Genomic DNA, 14,102 nt, shown 5'->3' with positions numbered 1-14,102 from the left:
CTAAGTTACGTTCTGGGCCGTGCTTTAACCCTGGATCCACCAACATGGATAGTTTTTGGGTGGCATATCCAGTCTCCTTTCTCAGAGAAGGATCCACAGCATCCAGCAGGGTGGACTCTGAAACCATGTTTTCTGTCTCATGGCCTTGCCTTTGCTCTAGGTGATGTGCACAGTATCAGCAGACCCCTGGCCAAAGTGAGAGACCTGGGGCTTGGGAGTTAGCGATAACTGGGTCTTGTAATGACTGGGTCTCCGTAATGACCCAGAGAGAAGATTTGCAGACGACTCCTGCTGAGGCCCCCAGTGCTGCCCTGGTTTTTGTCCTTCCAAAGGGTTAGATTCTACGAGACATTCTAGTGTCCTCCAAAAATGTACCTCTTTTGCTTAAAAGTTCTGCTTTTTTGTATTGGTTTATTTTATTTACCAAATAGAACCCTTTATTGATATAGTTGGTATACTGGAAAGAAGTTGAAGTATGAAGTAAGAATATTTTTCAAAGTTTCTAAAGTGAAACCAAGGAAATAAAACATGTGTCCATTTCTGGCCAGACACAGTGGCTCACGCCTGTGATCCCAGCACTTTGGGAGGCCAAGGCAGGTGGATCATGAGGTCAGGAGATCAAGACCATCCTGGTTATGGTGAAACCCCATCTCTATTAAAAATACAAAAAATTAGCCGGGCATGGTGGCGGGCACCTGTAGTCCCAGCTACTTGGGAGGCTGAGGCAGGAGAATGGCATGAACCCGGGAGACAGAGCTTGCAGTGAGCTGAGATAGCACCACTGCACTCCAGCCTGGGCAAAAGAACGAGACTCCGTCTCAAAAAAAACAAAAACAAAAACAAAACATGTGCCCATTTCTGTCTTCCATCTCTTCCTCTGGCCTCAGTTTGGTGACTGGAAATAATGGCATTCTTGGGGGCTGATGATGAAAGAAGCCAGGCAATTTAGAGAAAGTAAGTATGTGCTTAGTGAAAAAGGAGGGAATATGTGGTAGTTTTTGTCCAAGTCACCTCACTTCCTCCTTGTCTTTTCACTCTATCCCTATATTACAAAGTCATCAAAAGATAAAACTCCTAAGTTATGATACAGTACAGTAAATGAGACACACATGGGAAGAAAAAATCAATTAAAAACATTTCTGAATTCTATGGAAGTGTCAAAGAAAATGAGTATTGAAAATACTCAGATTTGATCAAATACCGATTTTTTTTTTAATATTTAAAAGGGGGCATCACAACTGGCAACTGAAAAATTAATAGTGCTTTAATTCTAGAAATTACCCATGTAGGCAAACAGACCCGAAGAACATAATTGTCAGGTATTATTCCAATGGCAGGGGCACTTGGGCTGATAAATAGAAGTTCCTTTCTCCAGACGCCTTTTGCTATGAGGCAGTAATCTGGAAGACGGGTAAGTAAGGCTGGGGATATATTAACTGGTGATTTAACTTAGAGAAGTTAGCCCTATGGAAACTAAACTCATGGCCTTGGTCTCATGCAAACCATGCTCTAATTAACTACAATACACTATTCTGTGGTCATGTAGCTGCAGATATCTTCTGGAGGGCCCGAAACAGCACAGCTGTTAGGAATAAAAACCAGCAGCCAAGCAGTTAATTGCATTTGGGAAAGCAAAAGAAATTTTTTAATGGCTTCTTTTTTTAAACTTTAGCCTGAGTGCAGCTGTGATTCTTGAACAGCCTGTTCTGAACCACATGGCCTTCCAGCCTCCCAATCTTCCCACTATGTTCCATGCTCAACTGGCTTTCAATAGCCTTCCCGAAGCAACTCCTCAGCATAATAAACTTGGGATTCTGTAATACCAAGTAACACTTTTCTCTCTTTAATGGGATAATTTAGCCTTCTGACTTTCACAGCAGATGCATTTAAGACTCAGTGATGTCATTTAATTACAGACTCTTTAGAAATCTGAAAGCATCATTATGACTAGCCTGGACTGTCAGCTCCCTGATGGAGCTCACCAGCAACGCCACACACAAGAAGAACGGACCCCAGAGAGGAAGAAAGGCCTGTGCTCTATCCCCTGAATACTGATGTCCAGGGTGCTCCATATATCACCTAGCTAAATGGAGATAGAAGGGCCAAGACCAAGGGTCCAAATTAGAAGGCAAATGAATGATCAGGTCAATATACCTACTGAATAATTATTAAGGTGTATTTTCTCAATTAGAGTGATCAGATTAAGATATCAAAGGTGCATTTTTCTGTCCTCTTAATGAACTCTTGAAGTCTTAATCACAAGAGTTCAATAACTGTTATGCACTATTACAAGCATTTCTACTTCGCCATTGCCTAGTAAGAGATGATGATAAAGAAAAAAAAATATGAGCAAAGAGAAGCCTATATGTTAATCAAATGATAAAGCTCTTTTAAAAAATTAAGCGGCATTTTTAATTGATTAGAATTATTAACATAATTAGTAATATTATCATTGAAAATGGAAAGATAGTTAAAACAGACGTTTTTAAACTAATGATTCCTATTCTTTAAGAGCAGAAGGATGGGGGTATGAGGAATATAATATATTACATGCATAAGTTGTCCCAAGAAAGGAAACCAAACCACATCAAAAATAAACATGCATTTCATCTACTGTATAAAACTTTTTCTTCATGCCATCAACTAAGGGCCTGTGCAATTAAATTGTATGAAAGAGTCTGGCAAAGTTTGAAAGCATCACAGCCCCAAATCTGTACTACCTCCTGTTACTGAGAACATGTATCTCTGGAATATTGTACATAAAGTAAGAAAGAACTGATCTATCTTTGTGAGTCTGTCAAAGTCTAAACCTTCTTCCTTTCCAAATCATCTACAGTTTTTAAAACTACCAACAAGCAATGATCCCATACACTAACTCTCCACACAGTTCACCGAATACACACTTTCTTACACTACCTAAATGTAACAGAGTTCAAGAAAATATAGATGGATGAGTAATTCTGCATGGCAAGGGATATGAACATTCTGGCCCTCTGCCACTAGGAATCATATTAAATTCATTGTCCATAAAAGCAGTTATGTCCTAAGGGAACCACAAATAGGATGATGGCTGGGCCATGACTTGATATCATGATGTCACACATAGCAGTGCTTCATATGTAAGCATCAAAGTCCATATGGGTTATGAGATGATGATCTACTCTTTCAACAACCAACCCCTGATCCCAGGACATGTCCAACTACAGCTGGCCTTGGCAACACGGGCAACAATGAAACTTAAGGATGCTATGAAGACATCTTCATATACTTAGGTCTCCTGTGACAGGGAAGGGACTAAAAAAGTAAAGTTTTCAAGGGATGCAAAGGCTTATATTCACAGTAGCAGATATAAGTTGTAAATGGTTCCTTAAAAAATAACGTATTAATGCTACCATATATCAGGCATTATATGAATTGCTATATACATTATATTACCAATCTTCAAAATACTCCCATTTTCCCCATTTTAAAGATGAGGCACGGCGATGTTAAGTAACTTGTCCAAAATCACTACGCAAATATATGGCATAGCTGAGATTCAGACCCTAGTCTGTCTTGACATTTGGGTCTTCCCACTCTGACACCCTGCTTTCCAATGGCCTGGGCGAGTGACCATACAGAATCCACCAGTGGGTGGTGTTGAAGCCAGAGGGAAGGTCTATGGAGACTAATTTTGTCTTTCCATACATGCCTCACAATACCATTCGCCTTTGCTATTGTGCCCCTCTCTCCACGTGCACAGCATAATTGTAGTTAAGTACCCGGGTCCGAGGAACATTTAATCTAAGGTGACAGTCATTCCTGGCATTCATTTAACCAGATTTTATCTACAAAAGGATGTGTTTCAGGGGACCTGTTAAGAGTGTGATTTGCTCCAGGCTCCACTCCTACTATGAATGAATGTGAAGAAGGCTCCCATGTCGGGTTCATTTTTCTGCCCTTATTTGAAACTTATCCTTTGACAGCTTTCAGCCTGCCTGATCTGAGTTTCATCTGTTCAAGCAGATTATTGCAAAAGAGACTCCTTGCCTAGTAAAATCAACATGCAGGGAGCATCGATAATTTCTAATTGAATTTTGCCTCACTTTGATTAATGTTAATGCCCTCAAGTCCCCAAGGATGGGTACATTTGTGTGATGTGAAATAATCCAAGAACTTTATAAAACCAAGGAGGGATACTTGCTTATTTGTAAGCCTAGAGACCCAAGTATCTAGCTACTTTGGATCCCTGAATGACTGCATGCCCTCAGAGGTTACATTTATTTTAGTAAACCTATGGATATGGATAAATACAACATTTCCTAATGTAGCACTTTGATAAATAACTACCAATGTCTGGATTTTTTACTTCCTCTGAGCTAAGGAAGCCAATATGGTCTTAACAAAAGCTTCAAAGATACTAGTTGCAGACAATACTGCAACCCAAGCAGCAGTGACACTTGGCAGCCTTTTGACACTGACCCCACTTGGTTGTATTCATCTCACAAAACGATTCACATAGGCTAGGATTACAAAGAAATGATTATTAAAATTAGAAGCCACAAAGTAATAATTAAAATTAGAAGAGATTGGTTCTGACACAATAAAAACTTTTTTGTGTTATCACTGATTATGCGGCAGGTCTGGAAGTACACATTATTTGTGTTTCACAGCTGGTGAAACTAAAGATAAGTTAGACAACTTGGCCAAAGGCATTAAGAGTTGTAAGTCCAGAACACAATTGGGAGTTGAGGGTCTGAGCCCCCTACCACTCCAGTGATCATGATGAGTCACTGCTGAGCCTCGCATGGGAGACTCGAAGAGGTGAAGAAGGCCCAGTGCAAGGCAGACTCTCTGGGGACATATCAATCTCTCCCACGAGCTTTAAGTACGTGGGCAGCTGGGCTTCGAGGACTGCAATCATCTAGAATTACTTAGCCCTGACACTGACAGAATTACTAAGTTTTAGGATTGTACAGGGTCTGTGCATTCACTGCCATTCCAATTCTTGCACTCTGCAAACAAAGAAACAAACCCAGAGACTAACTGATATCTTCAAGGAAACACAACTAGTAAGTGGCGGAGCCAGATTCCAAACTCAGGTCTACAAAATCCAGGCCCACTGTTCTTTTAATGGCACCTCAGTGTGGACAAACCAGCTTTAGATTTTATAGCCTACAGAAAGCCAATTTATTTTTTATGGTGACTCCAGGAACCCCAAGAGATCTGGTCTGATCTTGAGTTTCATGGCCACCCTAGGGTGTGAAGAAATGGACGAGAAAACCCAGAATGGCCTTCAAAAGTTTTCTGCTTCCAAAAGCCTTCTTCACAAATGGTTTTGAATTCAACACTTAGAAGGGAATTTTGCTTCTTGATACTTTTTATCTCCATTATATAGAAAGACATAATATCCAAGAGTCAGCATTTTCTTTCAGAACCAAAGTGTTGGCAGGAACACAGACAGCATATTCTACTCCTGTTGGGGTTGCTGACTCAGTGGCCAGTGCCTCTTGCTTCCAAAGGCTAATAAAAGGTTATCTACCCAGTTTTGTGATGTCATAGTGGAGTCACCATGAAGCGCAACATATCACAAAAGGGATCCTTAGATGGTCAAATACTCACTTAGCATTTCAGGAGATAAAAATTCACAGTTCTTCATTTGAAAAATACCAACATGCTAACAGGGGTGTGGCAGCCATGGAAGTGCCCCCTTTAGATCTCCCTTCAAGAGAATCCGCTTTGGGGAGCACAGCTGTTGGTTGGTCTACAGGCGCCACCTGTTTGGATTCTCATGGAGTTCCTGCCCTTCCCCCAGGTTGCTCCTAGCCAGTGATTAAGCATGACAGGCCAACCTGAACTGGCCCACTCCTGCCCAATGTGGGATTCTTTATGACACTGTAATGCTCTAGAATGAAAAAAACACATCTCTCCCAGGAATCATTTGTACAAACAATAATTCCTGTAGACTCCTAGTGAATTTGGGAAAGTTATTAAGTCCAAACAAGATCCCGTCTCTATCAATATAAAAAGGCAGTTAAAAAAAATAGTGCAAGAATCAGGCTGTTTAATGACAAGCTCTTAACACAGTTTTTGAGCTCCCAAATCTAACACATCTCTGAAGCTGCTAATATCATTAATTTTCTGGATTTACAAAAACAAAACAAAAAGCCTCATATTAACTTGGTAATACTTTCAAAAAACGCTAAAAGTATGGCTTTTTTTTTTTTTAGATTCTTCAAAAGCAATTACAGGAAGAAAATTATTTCAAATACAAAGAAAAGGAAGGTTTTTTTTTTGGGAAGCATATTAACTATGCTTACTAAAGCATTTAGGGCACTGCTTCATGACTAGAAATAAAAACATAGCTAGTTGTAAAAAACTATTAGTGACCACTAGTTTTTTGATAATATGACTTGTCAAGCAAAATCCCTCCAGCATCTAACCCCTGCTCTTCCAACTCCCCAGAACACACTGCTTTTATCGCCAGCACACCATCAGGGTGTGTCCCGAGTTTGTTCCTTCCGGTGGGTACACAGTCTCGCTGACTTAAAGAATGGAGCTGCCAACCTTCGTGGTGAGTGTTACAGCTCTTAAAGACAGCAGGGACCCAAAGAGTGAGAAGCAGCATTCCCTCTTCACAATAAATGTTGCTGCTGCTGGCTGGGGTGGCCAGGTTTATTCCCTTATTTGTCCCCGCCCATGTCCTGCTGATTGGTCCATTTTACAGAGAGCTGATTGGTCCATTTTACAGTGTGCTGATTGGTCCATTTTACAGGCTGCTGATTGGTCTATTTTACAAATCTCTAGCTAGCTACAGAGCGCTGATTGGTGCGTTTTTACAGAGCACTGATTGGTGCATTTTACAAACCCCTAGATAGCCACAGAGCACCGATTGGAGCATTTTTACAGAGCACTGATTGGTGCATTTTACAAACCTCTAGCTAGCTACAGAAAATTTCTCCAAGTCCTCACTGACCCAGCAAGTCCCACCTCTCAAGGATAAGTCCTCTGACCTAAATATCAAGAACTCAATAATTGAAATGTCCAAAATGATCCAAAGGCCTACTTGAAGTAAGAAAAGTTTCAAGGAACAGAGCTTCTGTGATATTTGAAGTGTTCCTTCTTTCCACCCTATTCTTTGCATTTTATAGTATCATAAATCCGTACTTCTCAACACTGCGGCAAAAATAAGAGTTAGTAGTATTGAGAAAGCCATTAAAAAAAAATCCTCATTTTTATAGACAGGGGCATTAAATACATAGCATTTAAACCTCTCACTTATATGATGAAAATGGCAAGTAGATATAAATTTTACAGTATCAGAAAGCAAAACCCTGTGGCCTACCAAAACAAAATTACCTTTCCAATACAACTTTGCAATGACATTTAAACTCCAAAGGTAATTTTGCAACCAAGGTACTCACTGATGTATAAATGATACTCACCAAGGTGAATCAATAGATTTTGTATGATTGCTTCATCATCCCTCCATTATCTCAAATCTTCTAAGGCAGCAGGAGAGATCATAAGGATGTTTGAGGACTGCTTATTTGAAGATACAGAGAAGGCCAAATCATATCGTATCTATTAAAGGAATGGAGCCTGACCATGAAATCCTAATTAACACTGTAACAATTTATTTAAAAATCTCTGATGCAGCCCATGTGAGGCTAAATCAGAAGGAAAACAATGTTAGCATTTTAGTAGAACTAAATTAAAAGAAAAAAAATGACATAACAGAGACCACATTATAGACTAATAAGGGATTCGATAAAGCAATTATTGCTTGAGCATTGTTTCTTCTGTATGATAGAATGAAGAGGATGCACCTCTGAAACTTTGGTTAGACGATGCTAACTTTCTGAATGAGTAATCGTGGGATACAGTCAGTGGTCACAACCTTCTGACCTATCTGCATCTTAGAATAGTAGAGAAGTCTTTGTTTTTTGAGACAGAGTCTCACTCTCTTGCCCAGGCTGGAGTGCAGTGGTGTGATCACGGCTCACTGCAACCTCCACCTCCTGGGCCCAAGCCATCCTCCCGCCTCAACCTTCCCAGTAGCTGAGACTGCAGGCACACGCCAAGCCCAGCTAATTTTTTATTATCTGTAGAGAGAGTCTCCGTATGTTGCCTAGGCTGGTCTCGAACTCCTGGGCTCAAGTGATCCTCCTGTCTCTCTTCTGGTCTTCGATTATAGGTGTGACCCACCATGCCTGACCCGAGAAGTCTTAAATGAGATAATATCTCAGACTGAGTCCTGTTCAAAGTTAATAAGGGATTCATGAGGAACTTGCTTTACATTTTTCTTTTCTCACTAATTACCCCCCCTAAGATAAGCATCAAGAGATGGAGTAGGATGGATGGCAACTTGGGTCAAAACTCGTAATACTTTGGACCTTTCCTTTGTCTTAATCATGGCACAGTCCTGGTTAAAATGTAAATATTCTTGGGAGAATGCCTGTAATTCTCAATCAAGTATATTTTTATAAACCTTTCAGAGACATTTTTTTAAAAAATGGAAGACGGAGAATGAATGTTACTAGACATGTAGGCTTTAATTAGCACAGAGATGCAGAGATGATGTAATTCCAGAAAGCACAGACTATTACCTGGGTAAAGTATGCACCAAGACAAACTTCATAACGACTCATGATAATAGTCATTCATATATACTAGCTATACGCCAGAGGATTTTCTAATAACTTTACATGTATTAACAAGCTTAATCCTTACAACAACCTTATAAAAGGTGGTACTGATCATTATCATCCCCATATATCACATGAGGAAACCAAAGTACAGAGAGGTTTAGCGACTTGCTCAAGGTCACAAAGCTAATTAGTGACTGGGTCAGAATTTGAACCCAGATAGTCTGCATTCCCAACTATGTGCTGCCATCTCGCATCTATGTTACTCATCCACTTTCTACTACAATTCCAAATCAGTGCATCCTCATTCCACCAATAATCATAACACTGTCCTGTTTCTTAGAATAAATGCCCTAAGAATGTGAAAGCCCTTTTCAGCTCTAGAGTAGCAACTTCTCACATAACCCTCTGCAGGAAGTATTTTTCTATACATTGTGGTCCAAAAGGTGATCCTCAGATTGTCTGAATCAGACCTGGATATAGAATTCAGTAACAACGTTTCCTGATAATTTCTTCTGAAAATGTCTAGTACAATCACATTTAATTGATATATATATATATTCTCTCTCTCTCTCTCTCTCTCTCTCTCTCTCTCTCTCTCTCTTTCTCTCTCTCTTAGACTAAGCACAGGCCTAGAAGAAAGTATACATGATCTTCAATCTCAGGAGAAGTTCTGATAAATACTGTGCTCAAAGAATTCTGCTTGATAGGCAACAAGAATCATTAAAGATCCTGGTAAAACTCACCATTTTAAATCTATAATCTTAGCAGACTAAATATAAAAAATCAACAACAAAATATATTTATAAAATAATGTTTAAAAATATAAATTAATTCTCTTGGCTCTCAAATGGTCCTGTATTTAGAACAAATTTAAAGCTCCTGCTCCTTTTTGTTTTCATTTTTGTTACTTTTCAGAAGGCTAAATGGACCTTCTTGTTACAGGACAGCTTTGTTTCGTATTTTTAATATGGCAGTGAATTACAGATAAGTATTCTTAGATATCAAGCAATTAGGAGGACATCAGTAAAGCAGGGAACAAATTCATGGCCCATAACATGCAATAAAGAAACACAGAGAATCATACTTTGTTAAGATCATCCATTTGAAGACCCAAAGCAATAGGTTTCTGTACTTCTTCCAAATTATTTGGCATATGAATAGGCTTACTCTAAGCCAAATGTTAGCTCTTGAACACTTGATAACTCTTAAAAAATAATATGTTGATGATTTAAGAGGGTACAAATCAAACATGAATTGAATTTTTCATAAATTACCCATGATCTAAAAAATTAGACAGAAGAGTAAATGACTCGTGTCCACACTGACAATGGATCCCAACCCATCATTCACATTCTGGAGTCCTTCATTCACAAGAAGGTAAATTAGCCTTCTTTGGCAGACCCTTTTTCCACATAAAGGAATTGGGCTTGGGGCAACACGTGCCAAATGTCTGGAACAAGAGACAAGATGTTCAATTAACTCCTGAAAAATGACTGAATAAATTAATATGGAACCGAAACTAACATACAAACCATGTCATCTCAGTTGGCAGGATCAGAAAAGGAGAGAGAGTAGACTTTAAGGAGGATGCTGCATTGTTGCTTTATTTTGCAACAACATAAAGACAACACCATTTGTATTCATAGAACCGACGGGTGGAATTAGAAAATAGACTCGTGACAATAAAGAGATGGTGGAAAAAGAAACTGAAAAACTCAGTATCTTTAAGTTGCTAACCTATTCTTTAAAATCATGCTTGCAACTTGAAGTCCCTACTTGCTTTAGCTTTCTAGCCCAGCTAGAAATAGATATCCAACTTATTTTGCTTTATTTCTTTAAGAGTGCTTTTTATCTACAGAATGCCCAATAATGCCCAATAAATCTTAAGTCTATTAAGACTATAAGTAAAAAGAAGATAGATGCAATTCCTTCTAGATAACTGATGATGTGGTTTCCTTCTAGCATCGAGCCTAATCTTATATCTCCTAGAAATCCTTTCCTGAAGTGAAGAAAAGTAGAGAACATCAAAGTTCAATTCTTCTAATGTAGACAGAAGAACATCCCACATGGTCTATAAGCCATGACTTTCTTCACTGAAAGTGCGAAATCAGTCCAACTGTCTCTTAGGATGTGCAATAGAAAAGTGAATGAAAGGCTTACGGATGCCCCACAGGAGACATGGATAGGGAAAAAATCCTGTACATTTTCTTAGACATTTTGATGCTTTAACTGTGCAACAGTTCTCCCTCTGTACTTAATACAAAGAAAAACTATAGGGAGAATACATCCCAGATAGCCTTAGTATAGTTATAGACATGCCTGCTGATGCACCTGTTATATATTTGGCAGATAAAACTAATTTATCCTCTTGCTAACTTTATTAAAGACAATAAACTAAAAGACAAGAATATATAAACAGAGCTACATTGTGTACCCAGATTAAGAAGGTCACGTGTTCGCAGATCACCCTGTGAGATTGTCAAACTGACTGCTTAAATGAATGGCTTCACAGGTGGCTTGACGTCATTTCTCCATGCTACAAGCTACAAATGATCCATGTACACTCGTCTAACTGAGACAAAGCCTAACACATGAAGGCTGTGCATTTCATGCATGTTGATTTCTACTCCTTTTCCCCCAAAGATTAGGCACATTACAGATTAAAGACATTAAGAAATCCTGGCACATGGCACAACCTAGTAAAGAGTTTAGGAGGGAAATGCAATTCCTCACTTCTGACAAGACAAACTAAGAACAAAAAAATCATGTAAAATGCTGTCTACCTTTTTGAAAAACTGCCATAATTATAGCTCCATAGAGTTAACTCTTTTTAAAATCTGCAGACCTGGAGTCCCAGGGGTAAAGACAGTGCTCTATTCCACTGCCCTACATCTGGGCCACTGCTAGAGAGAATAGACTTTCGTCAGGTTAGCCATGTTTTCATCCTTATTTATTCAACTAATAAAGTGGTGGGGGAGGGGCGGGGGAGCAAGCTGGGTGGAGGATTAAGAGTCTTTAGGGAAAAATAATCATAAACTTTGAATTGACAATGTGAATTATCCATAAGCCTCAGTGATTCTTGAAATTACTCCAGAGATGAGCTTCATACAGCCCATTTAGTTCACCTAAAACATCCAATGCACTAAACCCAATGGAAATATGAATTCAGAACTAATGTCCATAAGTTAAGGACCATATACTATAATATGCACAAATAGGGTAAGAAGTTAGGCTTGAAAAAAGTAGATTGTTTAAACTGCTGTTTTCTAGAAAATCAAGTTAAATGTCTTGAACTTTCTATGCTTCACATCCATAGTCAATATGCCACTGATGATCAGTAATAATTTGAGTTAAACGACGATGGCACAAGAATAATAGTAATAACCTCAACTGGAGTTAACATTTATTGAAAGCTTATTATGTGCTGGGCTCTGGCTAAACTAACTTTAATATATACTATCTCGTCATCTTTGGTTGCATTCTTTTTTTCAACATCTTTATTCAATGTCATTCTACTTCCTACTGGGGCATCTTTAAACCTTTACAAACACTAAGAGTCCACAGCTGGTAAGGAGGCTGCATTCATTTAGAAAGCAAGTGAACCATTATAGTAACATATGGAACTGGCTATTGCATACACTCTCTGCTCATGCCTGAGAATAATACAAGAGATCAGCCTGGCTCTTCGGGGATGTTAATGGCCTACAATCCTGTAGCCTTCCCAACTCTGCCCTGGCTGGTTAGCTCATTGGGTAGAGAATCATACAAGGTCAGGCCTTGTTTTATGGCTTAATATGCTTTCTGATCCCAGTTTATTTTGCACAGAGAATAACCAGTACCACACACCATATCCTTAATCCCAGCTACGTGTTTTGAAAATCTGTATCTTTGATTATGAGGAAACCAGATGTAAGAAAGAACGGCCTAATACAAAACCAGCCATATTATTTGGATGGTGGGTATGAGGGGATTAAAACCACTACCACCATAAAATAAAACGAAACAAATCTCAAACATGTCTTCTACTGGTAGCAGACAGCAGGCTTATCTTCACAGACAATAGCAGCTATCTACTATATAATCCATTTAGATTAGAAGGGTTGTAGCCCGGGTGGTGACAGTGGGTGCTGGATAGCTTTGTGCATGAATGAGTACATAAGTGCAAGGAAAGAAGTGCCAGTGCATCCAAAAATTTATATTATCAGTTCACTGATGATATTTCAACCCCCAACATGTGAAAGTTAATTAGAACCCACAAAAAGTACCCAGATATTTTAGCAGCTGTTAAAGCTAGCATATTTTGGGTATGGTATGATCTGCTCTGATAGAGCCAGGCACTCTAAAACCTGGCTGTTTTTCACAATTGTCCAGGGAGCTCAAAAAGAAAAATAATAATAATAATAATAATAATAATAAAAACCTAGTAAATACACAGATTAACAGACTCTTCTCCACACTTCTTGTACTAAAGGTTTTCTTTCAAGGGGAATTGACAGAAGGGCATTAAGTGGGTCAGGGAGCGAGAATCTGTACTTTTAAAACATTCTCCAGGTAATTCTTCCTCTGGCATGTTTGGGAAGCATGTTTGGGAAGCACTGTCCTAGAGACACCAGTTATGATAACTTGGGTTGAAAAAGCTTGAATTTCAGCACATGGCTTGAGTGGGCATGTCTCTAAAATAAGAAACAAATGTACTGGGTGGCCCATAAAATAGTATGGTTTTCAATCACAAAGGCACTGAGAGCCTTCTTATGTCCCTTAGGAGGCACTTACAAGCTCCAGGCATGCTCTGGGATGAAAGCAATGACCTAGGGACACCTAAGGATAAAAGCAATCAGAAGGCAACGTAAGGTTGCTTGGAGTCTTACTGAAGGCTTTGGAGTGGCTTCCCCACTGACGCTCACTGTAATTCTATGAGGTACATATTATTCCTATGTCCATTTTACAGACTAGGACTCTCAAGCTCAGAAACATCCAGGGCTTAGCCCAAAGTTACTCAGGTAATGTCACTAGGTAGTGCTCTTAAGGGGAAAGAGTAACAGCGTAGAACTCAGGAGAATGGAATTGCAAGTCAGGCTTGCCCAGAAACTGCACAATCTTGGCAAATTACTTTAGCATTCTGAGACTCAAATGTCCTTGTTTGCAGACCAAAATGATTGGACTAGAGAATTTCTGAGAATGCTTAAAATGTTAACATCTATGATTTCAACATGGTTTCTACCTCATGGCTTAGTTTTTAAGAAATATTATACTTTATGGTCATGTTATAATGATGTTTGATAAAAGGAAGCATGAAAAATTTAGGTTAAGTACTACTGCAGGAATTATTCAAATTTAAGGTTTTTTTTTTTTTTATACTTTAAGTTTTAGGGTACATGTGCACATTGTGCAGGTTAGTTACATATGTATACATGTGCCGTGCTGGTGCACATGTGAGAATAGATGACTTTAGTTAATGCATTGCAAGTTCTA

The 14,102-nt window shown here is 39.0% G+C and overlaps 1 protein-coding gene across 10 annotated transcripts in view; it reads right to left on the bottom strand.

Moving 5' to 3' along the window:
• Positions 1 to 14,102, bottom strand: part of EXOC4 (exocyst complex component 4) — an 847,874-nt gene that overhangs the window by 314,441 nt on the left and 519,331 nt on the right. The window lies entirely within an intron of this gene.

The sequence above is a fragment of the Homo sapiens genome, chromosome 7, assembly GCF_000001405.40.
Source record: "Homo sapiens chromosome 7, GRCh38.p14 Primary Assembly".
NCBI classification, from domain to species: domain Eukaryota; kingdom Metazoa; phylum Chordata; class Mammalia; order Primates; family Hominidae; genus Homo; species Homo sapiens.
This window is presented reverse-complemented; position numbering and strand designations above follow the sequence as displayed.